This window comes from Homo sapiens, chromosome 16, assembly GCF_000001405.40.
Source record: "Homo sapiens chromosome 16, GRCh38.p14 Primary Assembly".
Taxonomy (NCBI): domain Eukaryota; kingdom Metazoa; phylum Chordata; class Mammalia; order Primates; family Hominidae; genus Homo; species Homo sapiens.
In genome coordinates this window covers 17245889-17261175 of record NC_000016.10, presented here as the reverse complement: position 1 = coordinate 17261175, position 15287 = coordinate 17245889, and the positions used below count along the sequence as shown (strand labels likewise).

Below are 15287 nucleotides of genomic sequence, written 5' to 3'. Positions count from 1 at the left end.
CGCCTCCCAGGTTCAAGCAATTCTCCTGCCTCAGATTTCTGAGTTAGCTGAGACTACAGGTGTGCACCACCACCCCTAGCTATTTTTTGTGTGTGTGTGTTATTGGTAGAGATGGGGTTTTGCCATGTTGACCAGGCTGGTCTCAAACTCCTCACCTCAAGTGATTCACCTGCCTCGGCCTCCCAAAGTACTGGGATTACAGGTGTGAGCCACCACGCCCAGTCCTAGGGGCACCTTCTTCTCCAGGCCATCACTAAGTCGTATATGGATGGTGAGGACAGAAGCAACTAACCCAGTCCCAGAGGAGGAGGCCTTTTAACTCACACTCCAGCAGAGCAGGGGTCTGCATACATTTTCTTAAAGGGCTGGATAGAAATATTTTAAGCTTTTCAGACCAGAAAGTTTCTATTGCAACTATTCACTCTGCTATTGTATCAGGAAAGCAGCCATGGACAATACACAAATGGACAGGTATGGCTGTGTTTCAATAAAACTTTATTTATAAAAAACACAGGCAGTTGTTTGCTGACCTGCTGGGGTGGGAGCCTTGCTGAGGGTCAGCTGCTCTTGGGTACCCCTGCAGATCCGCTGTTCAGGCCCCGACACCTTTTTCCTTGGGAACTGGTAAGAGGCATATTTCAGCCCTCCTTAAAAGGAGGACTAGCAGGGATGCCGCCCATTGCCCCTGTGTTTCCATAGCAACAAGGGCAGCTATATGGAGCCATTACTCTTCTCTGTGGCTTCAGAGGTCAGGGGCCGTGTTGTAGGACATTGGATATGCTTTCAGATTAAGGCCTTGGGAATGAGCTTTAAGCAGAAGCAACATGTTGCAGAAACAATTTGGGGCATTGGTTGAATGATGCATTTGATCATTCGACTGATCAAAGTAACCAGGACCCATTTACCCATGGAGGAGCTGAGTTTGGGGTCCAGCCCTTCTGGAAACATCCATGCCATGCGTGGTCTCCAGAATGACTCCTGATCTTTGTCTTGACCCCAAATGACTTCATCACTTCTGTTCCATGTACACACATGAAGAGCCAAACTCAAGCACAAGAGTGTCGCAAGTTTGCTTTGCTCCAGGACTTAGTGTAAAGTTTATTCTACAAGGGCTGCATTCCTCTTAAAAAAAAAAAAAAAAAATTGCGGCTGGTTTCTTTCCCACAGAATTTACAACGGCTCAGTCTGATTTCTCTTATGGGCATAGATATATGAGCATGTCCTAAAGGCAATGGAATGTATGTAATATCCTACCAATATTTTTCCCTTTATAACTTTATTATATCATTTCCAGCCCTTAAGTAAACCATCACAGCACTTTCAGCTGGAATTTAAACGGGACGCTGGAACAAAATGTTTGTTACCCAGTGGCAAAGACAGTCAAGGAAAGAAACTGACTTGAAAAGGTGTGGTTAATAAGAAGCATTGAGAATCGTAGTCATGGCACTTTAGAGCTTGAAAAAGCCTTGGTTTCTGGTTGGAACATCTCCTATTTCCAGATGGGGAAACTGAGGTCCAGAGAGAGCCATCTTACCAGAGGTTAAACCAGTAGCAAAAGTAGGATGTGAAACTATGGCCCCGGCTTCCAAGTCCGTATGACTCACTCTTCAAAGGCCAGTCTGCTTAGCATGATCTCTCAGTCAAGTTTCTCTTCTGTTTCTCTCCCCTCTTCTCCAGGATGGCTACTTTTCTCATCGGCCGAAAGAGAAAGTGCGAACAGACAGCAACAACGAGAACTCTGTCCCCAAAGACTTTGAGAATGTCGACAACAGCAACTTCGCACCCAGGACTCAAAAGCAGAAGCACCAGCCTGAGTTGGCGAAGAAGCCACCGAGTAGACAGAAGGAGCTTTTGAAAAGGAAGCTGGAACAGCAGGAGAAAGGAAAAGGACATACATTCCCTGGGAAAGGCCCCGGTGAGGTGCTGCCTCCCGGGGACAGAGCCGCAGCCAACAGCAGCCACGGGAAGGATGTGTCCAGACCGCCTCATGCCAGGAAAACTGGGGGCAGCTCCCCCGAGACCAAGTATGACCAGCCCCCTAAGTGTGACATCTCAGGCAAGGAGGCCATCTCTGCCCTGTCCCGTGCTAAGTCCAAGCACTGCCGCCAGGAGATTGGGGAGACTTACTGCCGCCACAAGTTAGGGCTGCTGATGCCTGAGAAGGTGACTCGGTTCTGCCCCCTCGAGGGTAAGTTCCAACCCCGCTGGCTCAGAGAGGGATCTCCTGGCCACTTCCTCCTCCTGCCCAGCCCCATTCTGCTCACCTTCTCAGACCTTCTGAGAAAGGCCACCCTGTTTTCCAAACCCCAGATGAGCACACGAGATCTGATGTGTTCTAGTACTCCCTGAGTGTTGAAGTCTTGTATCAGAAAAATTTTGCAAAATCAGATTACCTTTTGTAGGTGCTTTAACCCATTGCCTTTATGGCAAAGGATGAAATTATAGTGAAATCGGGAGCTGATGTGATGCTGGCAGGAGCCAAGGGAGCTGTATTGATATGGTTTCGTTTCTCTTTCAGTAGAATATTGGGATTAGAATTGATATGAATATTATTGTAATTGATTATGATTTGAGAGGTTTCTAATTGGTTGCATTAACTTCAGAGGCTCTGTAACTTTCCGTTTTCCTTCATCAAAAGTTTCTTTCCCTCTTCTCTTCTCTTTCTTCCTCATATGTTTCCTGTTTCCCTCCTTCTTTCCTTCTCATTCCTTTATTTTCTTTCTCCCTTTTTCCTCCCTTCCTTCCTCATTTTCTTCCTGGTTTGTTTCTCCCTTTCCTTTTCTTCCCTCTTCTCATTCCCTTCCTTATTTTCCTCTCTTCCCCCTTCCTTCTTTCCTATTTCCTTTCTTCCTTATTTTAATTTTCTTTCTCTCTCCTTTCCTCTTTTCTTCCTATTTTCTTTCTTCCCTTCTACATTCCTTCCTGCTTTCTGTCCTCTTCTTTCCTAATTTTTCTCTCCTCCCTCCCTCCTTTCTTCTTTTCCTTCCTTCATTCTTTACTTCCTTCCTTCCTTCCTTCTTTCCACCTTTCCTTGCTCTTTGCTTTTCCCCTCCCTCTTTCCCTTCACTGGCACTCTTTTATGTGCGGATGACCTGATGATAAACCAGCTCTCTTGCTGAGACACGGAGGGATCCAAGCTCTGATCCAGAAATTCACAGGCAGAGTGGAGGGGCCATCTGAAGATGGGGAGTCCAGTTTCACTAGCGCATGTGCAATCGTGCCATTGATGTGTATTTCTTGGTAGTGATTTTCACCTTCTCTAGTGCCCTTGGAAGGGGAATGACAGCAGCCACAGGGGGCTGCTGAGGCTTCGCTGTGTGCTAGACACCGCACCAGGCTCTGTGCAGTCAATTTGTTTATCACATCCAACACTCTCTGAGGCTGATGCTGATGTCATGAGCCCAATTTTTTTCAGATGAGAGATGTAAAATCCCTCTCCCAAGGTCACATGGCCTTTAAGTGATCTTACAAGCTTACTGTTATGGCAGGAAATTTCGGACCCACTCAGAGTAGAGAGAACCCCAATGTACCATCACCCAGCCACGTGGTCGCTGTTTATTGACTCGTGGTCACTGTTGTTTAGGGCACGCCCCCTTCCCTCCCGCTAGCCCCTGCCACCATAGCTTACGATAATCCAGCCTCTGGGAGCACTCTTAAATTTTACTTTTTTCCTTGGAGAAGATATTCTCAAAATGTTTGTGAATTCGTTTGCTCAGTGGTTTTCTCTGTGGAGAGGGCGGATAGCATCCAAAAGGCACCTTCCCACGAAGAGTTGGTGCCACTAGCAACAAACAGAGAGGAATGCATTTGAAATAAACGGGTGTGGATTTCATTCAAGCTCAGCTACCAGCTAACAGGGAGAGTCCTTTCTGCTCTCAGGGCCTAGATTTCTTATCTGTCCAGGGAGCAGCTTGCATTCTAGGGGTCTTTTTGCTCCACCTTCCCTGGGAGCCTACTTCACTCTTTACTCCTGGCCATCCCTCCTTCTCATTGGGCCACACTGCAAGGCCAGCCCAGCTGTCCCTCACAAAGTGGCCAAAGGTTCACAGTACCCCCTTGTCGCTTCTAAATCCAAATACCAACCCCTGCTTTTGTTATCTCCGAAGGGAAAAGACCCTTAAATGAGCACGGAGGCCAGCAAGGAGGCAACAGAGAGCTCTGGGGGCTCCGATGGGGTTGGGGGCATGTCAGAGTCGAGCTAGATGGAGATTGGGGAGGTGTCAGGGTCAACAGATGCAGCTGGAAGGGATCCACTGAGGTGCTGCTCAATGTCAAGGCATAAAGTCAGAGAATCAAGCCAGCTGCAGAATTGGGGAGGAAGGGCTTTCCGTTCCACCGGCATCGGTGCATCCGGGAGCCATGCAAGGCTTTGCCTGGTGTCCTCCTGAGAAGGCAAATGGTCAATTCACCCAACTCTCTTGATGAAGAAAGGAAGTGCAGCAAGAGAATGGCTCCCCAGAAAAGTAGACTAAAAAGACCTCTTAAGAGAACTCTTCATTCGCTACTCTTTTTTTTGTTTTTTTTTTCGAGACGGAGTCTCACTCTGTCATCATGCTGGAGTGCAGTGGCATGATCTCGGCTCACTGCAACCTCCACCTCCCAGGTTCAAGCAGTTCCCTGCCTCAGCCTCCCGAGTAACTGGGATTACAGGCGCCCGCCATCACACCCAGCTAATTTTTGTATTTTTAGTAGAGACAGGGTTTCACCATCTTGGCCAGGCTGGTCTTGAACTCCTGACCTAGTGATCCACCCGCCTCGGCCCCCCAAAGTGCTGGGATTACAGGGGTGAGCCACCGCGCCTGGTGAGAACTCTTCATTCGATTCCCTGGACAGATAAGAACATGAGGCTCATAGAGGGGAGGAGACTTATGCCAGGTCCCCCAGTTAATTAGAGGTGTTTTTCATTTTAAATATGTGCCTCTGTGTTTACCACTGGTCACAGAATAGAGGATTTAGATCAAATAGGAGGTGGCCACCTACACTCATTGCACAGAAAGAGGGCTGGATGGATAGACAGCAAACCTTCCTTATGGCCCCCCCATCTGCAGGGACAGGGTGGCAGCAGGGACAACTTTAACAAGTGCATCTATATTATTTTAGTTTCTAGTAGCAAGCATGTGTCTGTGCAATACTTTTGTTTTCTATCTGTTTTGTTTTGTTTTGTTTTTTTGAGACAGTCTCGCTCTGTCGCCCAGGCTGGAGTGCAGTGGTGCCATCTTAGATCACTGCAACCTTCAACTCTTAGGTTCAAGTGATTCTCCTGCCTTAGCCTCCCGAGTAGCTGAGATTACAGGTGCCTGCCACCTCTCCTGGATAATTTTTGTATTTTTAGTAGAGGTGGGGTTTCACCATGTTGGCCCCGTTGGTCTCAAACTCCTGACCTCAAATGATCCACACACCTCGGCCTCCCAAAGTGCTGGGATTACAGGCATGAGCCACAGTGCCTGGCCTACACGATACTTTTAAATAGAAAGATTTAGAAAGAAAAGCTTCCTTTCTGCCTTGCTGTTTCACCCTTGTCTAAGTGGTCGAGGTGGTTCCTGTCTATATTCTTGATTAGATTTGGCACACAGAGTGTAGCAATAATTAAGTGGAGTGCAACGTTTCCAGCATCTTTTGTTAACCTGTGCCTGGTGGAGAAGTTTTGGAGGCCTGAGTTGAATGCCATTCCATGAACGAAATATTGAGCTCCTTCTGTATATCAGAGACAGCACATTTGTTCTGTGAAGGGCCAGATCTTAGGCATTTGAGGATTTGGGGGCCAGTCTTTGTCACAGCTATTCAAGTCTGCCATCCGTCATAGGGCAGAAGCAGCCAGAGACCACACATACACAAATGCGCTATGTTCCCATTAAACCTAACTTATAAAAATAGGCTGGCTGGGTGTGGTGGTTCATGCCTGTAATCCCAGCACTTTGGGAGACTGAGGTAGGCAGATCATTTGAGATCAGGAGTTCGAGACCAGCCTGGCCAACATGGCGAAACCTCATCTCTACTAAAAATACAAAAAAATTAGCTGGGCATGGTGGTGTGCACCTGTAATCCCAGCTACTCTAGAGGCTGAGGCAGGAGAATTGCTTGAACCCAAGGGGCAGAGGTTGCAGTGAGCTGAGATCATGCCACTGCCCTCCAGCCTGGGCAACAGAGCAAGACTCCATCTCAAAAAAAAAAAAAAAAAAGAAAAAGAAAAAAAGGAAAAAGAAAGAATAGGCCATGGGCCGGATTTGGCCCTTGGGCTTTTAGTTTTCTTAACCCTGCAAAATGCTATCACTGTCTATAGTTGACCCTTGAAGAATTCTGGGGTTAGGGGTGCCAACCTCCTTGCAGTCAAAAAATAGAGCACAACTTTTGACTCCCTGAAAACCTTAACTGATAATAGCCTGTGTTGACTGAAAGCTTACTGGTAACATAAACAGTTGATAAACACATATTTTATATGTTACTTCCATTATTTACTGTATTCTTATAATAAAGTAAGCTAGGCCAGGCACGGTGGCTCATGCCTGTAATCCCAGCACTTTGGGAGGCCGAGGCAGGTGGATCACCCGAGGTCATCAGTTCAAGACCAGCCTGGGCCACATGGTAAAACCCTGTCTCTACTGAAAATACAAAACTTAGCTGGGTGTGGTGGCGCATGCCTGTAATCCCAGCTACTCGGGAGGCTGAGGCAGGAGAATCGCTTAAGCTTGGGAGGTGGAGGCTGCAGTGAGCTGAGATTGTGCCATTGCACTCCAGCCTAGGCAACAGGGCGGGACTCTGTCAACAAAAAATTGTAAATAAATAAATAAATGTAAGTAAGCTAGAGAAAAGAAGTTAAGAAAATCATAAGGAGGAGAAAGTATATTTACTGTTCATTAAGTGGAAGTGGATCATCATAAAGGCCTTCATCCTTGTCTTTATGTTGAGTTGAGGAAAAGGAGGAGAAGAAGGAGGAGAGGTTGGTATTACTGCTGTCTCAGGGATGGCAGGAGGGAAGAAAATCTGTTTATAAATGGACCCGTGTGGTTCAAACCTGTGCTGTTCAAGGGTCACCTGTGCTAATATGTGCAACACTGCCTTGTCACACTGTGTCCCCACACCAGCCCTACAGGCTGAGTCTATTGTGAACCCTTTTTGTCAGTGAGGAAATCGAGGCTCAAGGAAGGGGAGTCCTTGGCCAGAAACACATGGCCAGCAGATGACAGAGCTGGTACTGGAACTCATGTTACAGAGCCTGTATCCCTTTCCATAAGCCTGTCCCTCTTGGGGAGGCAGAAGGGTCACTTTATCTCACATTGTCAAGCCCCAGAGGTGTTCTTCCACCTGCAGGCTCGCTCTCTCTCTCTCTCTCTCTCTCTCTCTCTCTCTCTCTCAAGTTGCAAGGGAGAAGAAGGCAGGGCATTATTGGGAAGCCAGGGGTGCTGATGCTGTCAGTGCTTAAGAGCCTGGGGTGGTGGAGGCAGACCACGTGGATCTGAATCCCAGGTGTCCCGTGCACAAGCTGTAGGACTTTGGGCAAGTTGCTTGACCTCTCTGTGCCTCAGTTTCTCCATCTGTAAAGGGGAGATGAGCATCATCACACTTAGCTTAGAGGGTTTCCAAGGGCCTAGTACACAGCTAAGAACTGTACCTGGTAGTGCTAATGTACATTGCATCCCTATTTGCTTTATGACTGCTCCACAGTTGTTCAAAAAAATCAGAACCTCAGCATCTTAGGCCAGGGGTTCCTGCACTTCTCCTGGTCATGCTGAGGTTATCTCCGGATGGCTTTGCAGTGTGAGTTTGCCGGAGTTTGTCCTGAGGCCTTTAGTGCACTGGCCAGGATAGCGCACCCTCCCAGGACCTGTGAGCTGGTTAATAAGATTGGCATTTAAAAGCCATTGCACACCCAGCCTCAGCGACGCTTTAATTTGCTACACCACAGACTCCCCCATTTGCAATAAATTTACTGTGAATAGACTAATTGCAAAATAACCCTAATTGGGTAGTTATCAATGAACAACTTCCCATGGAACAAAACGGCTTACAATTAATAGCATTTAAGCCATAAACTATTCTTCTGCAGAAAGCTAAGATGTAATTACACCCCATACGGGGATTGTGTTCCCTTTCTGGAAACCATGACACCCAGATTTCCCTCTGCTTAGGAGGGATTTGAGCTTCAGCCCAGTGGTCCTTTTATTTCTTTGCTAAATGAGGAGATGGAGACAGGGGTGGAGGGAAATTTAATATATGAGTAAATATTCATATACATATAAGCATACACACAGATGGATGCCCTGTGTTTCTCATTTTGCTTTACGCAACATCACCTAAACTTCAGCCAAGAGTGTGCTGGAAGTTGAATATAATTAAGGAAACAATTCCTCATGGCTGCAAGTCTGAAAAATTCAGGGGAAGAGAAATAGATTTTAAATGTTGACTTTGGTACAGCGCCCCCACTCCTCCTGTCCCTCACGCTCTCTGTCCCCTCACCCCACCACCACTCAGGGAAAATGTCGAGTCCAGAAGCCCAGGAGATGGTTTGCTTTCTGTGAGACATTCCTTGCTCTCGGGACTTTTCTCCTTTACTTTCCAGAGAAAAGGGATTTAGAAGGAAGCCCCAGCTCCATCCCTTTTCGGTGACAGCTGTTTTCACGAGGGGAAGAGGGATTCCTCTGGCTGTCCACTGGCAACCGTGCAGAGGGAGATGCAGTGAGGTGTGGGGAAGGGACTCTGCTGCATCACCCCCAGTGATGGCCTCCGAGAAATTTGTTTTGAGCCACACACCCTAGGGTCTCTGGTCATTCAACTGGAACCCCTAGTGTTTCAGGGCAATGAACCAGGTCAGATTGAAAGTCAAGGACAGCTTGGGCAATGGGGTTTAATTCCTGGCTCTGCCGTTACTCATGACATAACCCTAACCGCTCAGTGACTCAGTCTGCACAGTAAAATGGACACAAAAACTCATCTTCTGTCTTTATAGCGTGGTTGGCTGAAATGAGACAATGCATATAAAATGCTGAGTGCACTGGGGAAGTTAAGTGGATGTGCTTGGCTTGTTAGTATTACCACAATGACTTTTTTTTTTCTGCAATTACTTTTGCACCAACCTAATCGTCGCAATGGAGGAGTTGTCTAAATGAAGGGGCGACAAGAAGAGGAAAGGAGAGGAGAGGAAAAGGGTTTCTTTGATGGTGTCAGCCATTGTGCAGCCACGTCTTGCTGGGTCTGCTCTTCAGACACAGCCCCAGTAGCTTCCAGTCCTCCCCAGCCCCCTCCCTGTCCCCACAACTCCCACTCACCCCACTTTGGCTGTTACCTCTTGCCTCTGGAGATCCCACCCTGAATGCGCTTCCTCTGGGAAGCCTTCCAGGACCACCTCTTCCCCAGAAGCCCTGGTTGCAGGGAACACATGGATCCTGGGTGAAGGGTGCATCTCTGCCCCTTTCATTGTCAAAGCATCTTTTCCAATAAAGGCTGTTTCACCTGCGACCCATAGGAGGCAATCTGTGCCAGCTGCCAGGTGACACAGCTTTTTCTGCCTCATTACATTTTGAACACCTGCATGTCAGGAAGCGCCCTCCGTGCAGTGGCCCTCACGGCCACCAGCCTCTCTGTGTCTTGAGTTAAAATGTCCCAAGAAAGGCCCTGCTGGCTCCTTGCGTTGCTCCTGCATTTCTTCCCCTTTGCTGGGTCTGGTTAAGCCACCACATAGATGCTGTAAGTGACCTGTGGGTCTGCAGTCTAGACATCCAGGTGAAGAATTAGAAATGAAAAATGTGAGAAGTTCCAGGGAAGATGATTGGCTGGGAGCTGGGTGGGTTGGACTTGAGTGGGGAACCCCGGTCTGGGCATCTGAGTGAAGTCGGCAGTTCTCCAATGGGTGATGGGCAAAGGAAATTGCGCATGACTGGGGAAGCTGGCACAGGTGTTAGGGGTGAGGATGAACAGAAGGGGGTTCTTTGTGGCAGCAACAAACCGTCTTTACCCATCAGCCTTTGCAGGAATGGATTTTTGGATATGGGGATTCTGGGGGGAAGGCTGGCCGCTCGCTGCAGAGAGAGACTGGCAGATGATACTGCCAGCTGCTTAAGGGCAGTCTCTTCTACATCCCTCCTGCCCTGGGGGCAGTGGGGTAACTACACAGCGTGAGTAGCCGGCTTCTAGAAAGCGTAGCTGACAGCCGCAGTGGAGGGAAAATAGAACTGGGGATGTCACAAGTGGTCCCAGGTAAATACCTCAGTTTCCCCATTTGTCAGCCAGAGATACTACTTTCTCCCAGATCCTTTGCTGTATCACCAATGATGAGAAAATGAGGGAATAGCTGTGAAAAGTTAAAAGGTACCACGCTAATGAGGGTGATGTGATGAAGCCACATTGACCAGGAACAGCTTGGCTAAGTGGGTGGGGTTGACGGGCTTTCCCAAGGCGGCCCTTGCAGTTCCAACTGGGCCCTTTGGCATCTCCTTCTGAGGAGCCCAGGAAGGAAGAGGTATCCAGTAACAGTTCATTGGAGTTGGACAAAACTAGTCCCAAAGGTCTTCCTTGGGCTTGCTGGGGAAAGGCAAGAGACTGGCAAATCCAGAGAACATCAGAAGACCCATTCATTGGTCAGCCACCACATTCAAGGCTGTGCTCCAGGACAGGGCCTCACACACACAGTTTCTATAAAGGGCCAGATCATAAATATTTGGGACTTTGTAAAATGCATGGTCTCTGTCTCAGCTATTCAACTTTACCATTGTAGCGTGAAAGCTGCCATAAACAACACATCAACAAATGACCATTGTGGGCATGCTTCAGTTCAAGTCATTTATGGTCACCGAAATGTGAGTTTCACATAATTTTCACTTGTTGTGAAATGCTGTTCTACTTCTGATTTGTTTTCTACCCACTTAAGATGTCAACCCATTCTTAGCTCAAGGGCCATGCCAAAATAGATAGTTACAGGCTGTGGTTTGCCAATCCTTGTTCTAGGACCTGGAGTTAGAGCTGTGAACAAGAGCAGAGAACACCTTGTGCCACTTGAGTACCATGTCCATTGGTTCTGGAAATCAATTGGGCGTCTAGATGGCTGTACCCTCATGGAGCTTCTACCTGAATAGGAGAGACCAGAGGTGACAAGTGAATAGCCACATCTGCAATCTAATGTCTGGATATGACTCTATGATTTATTTGAAGACGTTGAGCAGGATGAGAGGACAGGTGAGGTGGGGAACCATTTAGATAGGTGCCTACAGGCTGTGTGTGGTGGCTCACGCCTGTGATCTCAGCACTTTGGGAGGCCAAGGTGGGTGCATTGCTTGATGCCAGGAGTTTGAGACCAGCCTGGCCACCATGGAGAAACACCATCTCTACTAAAACAAAACAAAACAAAAGTTAGCCAGGTGTGGTGGCACATGTCTGTAATCCCGGCTACTCAAGAGGCTGAGGCATGAGAATTGCTTCAACCCGGGAGGTCAAGGTTGCAGTGAGCTGAGATCACACCACTGCACTCCAACCTGGGTGGCACAGCAAGACTTTATCTCAAAACAAACAAACAAACAAACAAACAAACAAACAAAAAAACTACATAGGTGCCTAGAGAAGGAACAGAAATAGATTTGGTCTCATTGTGGAAGAACTTGCTAAGAATTAAGCTGCTTGCAAATGGAACAGTTCCTAGTCTTTGGATATGCTGAATTCCTTTATTCATTTAATATTTATTGAGAGGCTGCTTTGTGCCTGACATTGGTTTAGATGGTGGGGAAAGACTTGCCAGGGGCCTGATCGTACTCATCTTTGAATATCTCGTGCTTGGCACATCATAATCCTCAGTCTTGCCCTCACTGGGAAAGAAGATAACGTGGTTGCTTTTAGCCTCAGTGGCTCAACCTCCCTTCACACTGGGGTCTCTACAGAGGCCTGTGTGCACCAAGCAAAGCAATGGAAATGGGCATCTAGAATCTCTGTGGAGGTGGTATTCTGAGCATGGCATCCACCACCTGGGACCTGAAACTGTTTGTCACCAGCTCCCTTCAATATACCCTCATTCAACAATTAGTCATCGAGCATCCCCTGTCTATGCCAGGAACTAGTTTGGATGGATTCATTTGGGAGGAAAGCAGATAGAATCCCCGTCCTCAGGGAGCTTGTGGCCTGTTAAAGTTGGGTAGGGAAACACAGGGGTAAACGATCATTAAAATGTGCACGTAGGCCAGGTGCGGTGGCTCATGCCTGTAATAACAGCACTTTGGGAGGCAGGTGGATCGCTTGAGGTCAGGAGTTTGATACCAGCCTAGCCAACATAGTGAAACCCCATCTCTCCTAAAAATACAAAAATTACCTGGGTGCCAGCTACTCAGGAGGCTAAGGCATGAGAATTGCTTTAGCCCGGGAGGAGGAGGTTGCAGTGAGCTGAGATTGCACCATTGCACTCCAGCCTGGATGACAGAGCGAGACTCCATCTCAAAAAAAAAAAAAAAAAAAATTCACATGTAAAATTGCAACAGCAATTCTGGGGAGTTGCATAGTTGTGTTTTATAGTTGAGCTAAGAGATGAAGGGTGGTGAAAGTTAACTAGAGGAAAAGCTGGAGGGGGACATTCCAGGTCAAGGGAGTATCGTGTGCAAAGGCCCTCGGGTAGGCAGAGGTGTTGATAGTTTAAAACACTCACAAGACCAACAGGGGAGCTCTTCCTATAAGCAAAAAGGTTAATCTGCTCGTAGGCCAAGTTGTAATTCCTAAAAGTGCTAGGTTTAGAGGATCTGTGTCTTTGCTTTGAGCAAGGAGAATGGAGGTAGAGGCATCTCTCAGTACTGAACTGAAATTGCCAGAGACCTGAGGGGAAGGTAGGCCCCCCTGTATTAGTCTGTTCTCATGCTGCTGATAAAGACTTACTTGAGACTGGGTAATTTATAAAGAAAAATAGGTTTAATGGACTCACAGTTCCATGTGGCCGAGGAGGCCTCAAAATCATGGCGGAAGGCAAAAGACATCTTATAGTGTGGCAGGCAAGAGAAAGAGCTTGTGCAGGGAGATTCCTCTTTATAAAACCATCTGATCTCATGAGACTTATTCACTATCACGAGAACAGCAAGGGAAAAACTCACCCCCATGATTCAGTTACCTCCCACCAGGTTCCTCCCATGACACATGGGAATTATGGGAGCTACAATTTAAGATTTGGGTGGGGACACAGCCAAACTATATCAGCCCCAAAGGTAAGGGTCTGGCAGGCTGGGACTGGGGGGCAGGTCTCACATCCTCTCTCTACAGAATCATGCTTCTTCCACTTTTGAGCCCTGAACAAGAGGTCATCTTGGATCAGGAAAGCAACCCCTGCCCCCAAGTTCTTAGCCCTGGATTTAGGGTACACATCTTTGGGAGGTCTTTCCTCCTCTTACAGTGCTGTTTCTCATGACATCCAAGCCATGGAAGGAAATCCTCAGTGCCTCCAGCAATGTCATAGACTCAGTGTCCTGGGCTGTTTCACTATCATTGACCTGACCCTGGATTAGGAGAAGCCTTTGAACCAAACTCAAAAGACTTGCGGCCCCTCTGCCACTTTATCGGCTGCGAAAGCCTTGAACAAGGCACTTGTGTTCTCTGAGCCTCACGTCTTTCCTATAAAACAGATTGCACAAGGGCCTCCCCTGCCTCCTCAGGTTGCTGAATAAAATACCGTATTTGAGTGTACTTTCATTAATCCATCGGTCTAGCCAGCAAATATTTACCAAGCACCTGTTACAAGTCAGCCATAGGCCACCTCTCGATTGGCAGCTCTTGTGGTTCTGGAAGCCTGCAGGTGGGCATGGGAGACTCGCTTCCATGGCAGGGTGGTTTGTGATGATTTTCTTGGCGTTCCATGAGTTCTTGCCCAGTAGCTGCCCCAGAACAAGGCAGAGAATGGAGATTCGAAGAGCACATAGAATTCTTGCTCCATGAGAGGCTTGCTCCCTTGGGCACAACTGATTGTGTGTCTGCCACCCAGGGTCCCCAAGACAGAGACTTAGTGCAAGAAGGAAGGAGCCCAGACATGGCCCTTGAATGAATGAATGAGTGAATGAGTGAATGAATAAATGAATGAATGAATGAAATAAGCCCTAGAGTGAAAAGACTAGCTATCTCTCCTTTCTGCATAAGTCAACAAAACTAGCTGGCCTTTTCTCCTCTCTCAAATTACTTGGCAGTCCAGGGCTAGGAATTCATATCAATGCCACTTCCTCCTGGAAGCCTTCTGTGATGCTGTCTCCCCACACTGCACCTCTCCAAGTCTGTGTGAGGTGCTCAAGCTGTGTGCCCCCAAACCACCTTGCCTGTTCCCTGCTGGGGTACATGTCACAGGATAGCGTGGTTGCTGGAGTGCTCTGTAGCCCACACTGAGCCACAAGGGCTGAGTACCCTTAATTCTGTTGGGGACCCTTAGGTGAGACTGGCTGCTATAGCATATCCTGAGTCTCCACCACTGGATCTCCAGCCCCTGCCTGCACGGGGCTAGGACACGAGAACCCACATTTCTTAGGCACTTCCTGAATGCCAGGTGTGGAGGCGAGCACTTTGCATGTGTGATCTCATCGCGACTCCTGCACAGCCCTGGAGAAGGGATGTTCTCTAGTTCCATTGAACAGACGAAGAAACTGATCCTCAGAGAGGTTAAGTAGCTTGCCCAGGGTCACATTTGCAAGTGACAGACCTTAGACTCAAACCCACTTCTGCCTAACTTCAAAACCCACACCTTAACTTGTCTGCTCTGTGGTACCCTTAGTAAATGTGGAACCAGATGTGTTAAATGACTGATCTAGCTTCTCCAGAGATAAAGGAAAATGCACTGCATGTTAATCAACACCTTTCTCTAGCTATTGATACTTGTTACTCTCCATCTCTGCAGCCAGAAAGAACAGGGAGCTAAGGTCTCTATACAAGAAACTGCTCTTAAATAATAACACTTAACCTCTACGTAGGGATTGTTAAATGCCAAGGGCTATCCTAAGAAGGTTTAGCCACATTAACTCATTTATTCCTCATAACAACTTTGTATTCAAAGAAGTTGAGACACAGAAAACTTACCCAGAATTACACATTTCACCAGTAGCAGAGCCAGGCTCTGAGCTCAGAGACTTTGGTTCCAGTGGCGTGGCAAGGGGCTTAACCACTGCACTTTGGTGTCTATAGGAGCAGCTGCATTCAGGCTGAAGCAAGCCCTTTGCAGCTTACATTTGCTCCTTGTGCTCAATCTGTCTGTTGCAATGAGACCCACCCACACAGTCAGATAATTCACCTGCTTTTGGAGGCGGGGGCGCCAATCCCATCCAAGACGCTAAGGACTTGTGTTTGAAGTCAGTTCA

General features: G+C 47.7%; 1 protein-coding gene across 3 annotated transcripts in view, besides 3 other annotated features; it reads left to right on the top strand.

The window, feature by feature from the left end:
- The window catches only part of XYLT1 (xylosyltransferase 1), a 369192-nt gene that overhangs the window by 209785 nt on the left and 144120 nt on the right, over nucleotides 1-15287 (top strand). For all 3 annotated transcript variants that reach the window (XM_047434458.1, NM_022166.4, XM_017023539.3), the window contains one exon: nucleotides 1678-2188. In XM_047434458.1, coding sequence (XP_047290414.1) covers nucleotides 1678-2188 — 511 coding nt within the window. The remainder of the gene's footprint in view (nucleotides 1-1677; nucleotides 2189-15287) is intronic.
- Nucleotides 1466-1865: an enhancer, noted in NCBI's record as "active region_10505". NCBI's record gives its function as "activates an Ori minimal core promoter by ATAC-STARR-seq in GM12878 lymphoblastoid cells {active_cell/tissue: GM12878}" and the evidence as "EXISTENCE:reporter gene assay evidence [ECO:0000049][PMID:35858748]".
- Nucleotides 2026-2075: an enhancer, noted in NCBI's record as "active region_10504". NCBI's record gives its function as "activates an Ori minimal core promoter by ATAC-STARR-seq in GM12878 lymphoblastoid cells {active_cell/tissue: GM12878}" and the evidence as "EXISTENCE:reporter gene assay evidence [ECO:0000049][PMID:35858748]".
- Nucleotides 8785-8884: an enhancer, noted in NCBI's record as "active region_10503". NCBI's record gives its function as "activates an Ori minimal core promoter by ATAC-STARR-seq in GM12878 lymphoblastoid cells {active_cell/tissue: GM12878}" and the evidence as "EXISTENCE:reporter gene assay evidence [ECO:0000049][PMID:35858748]".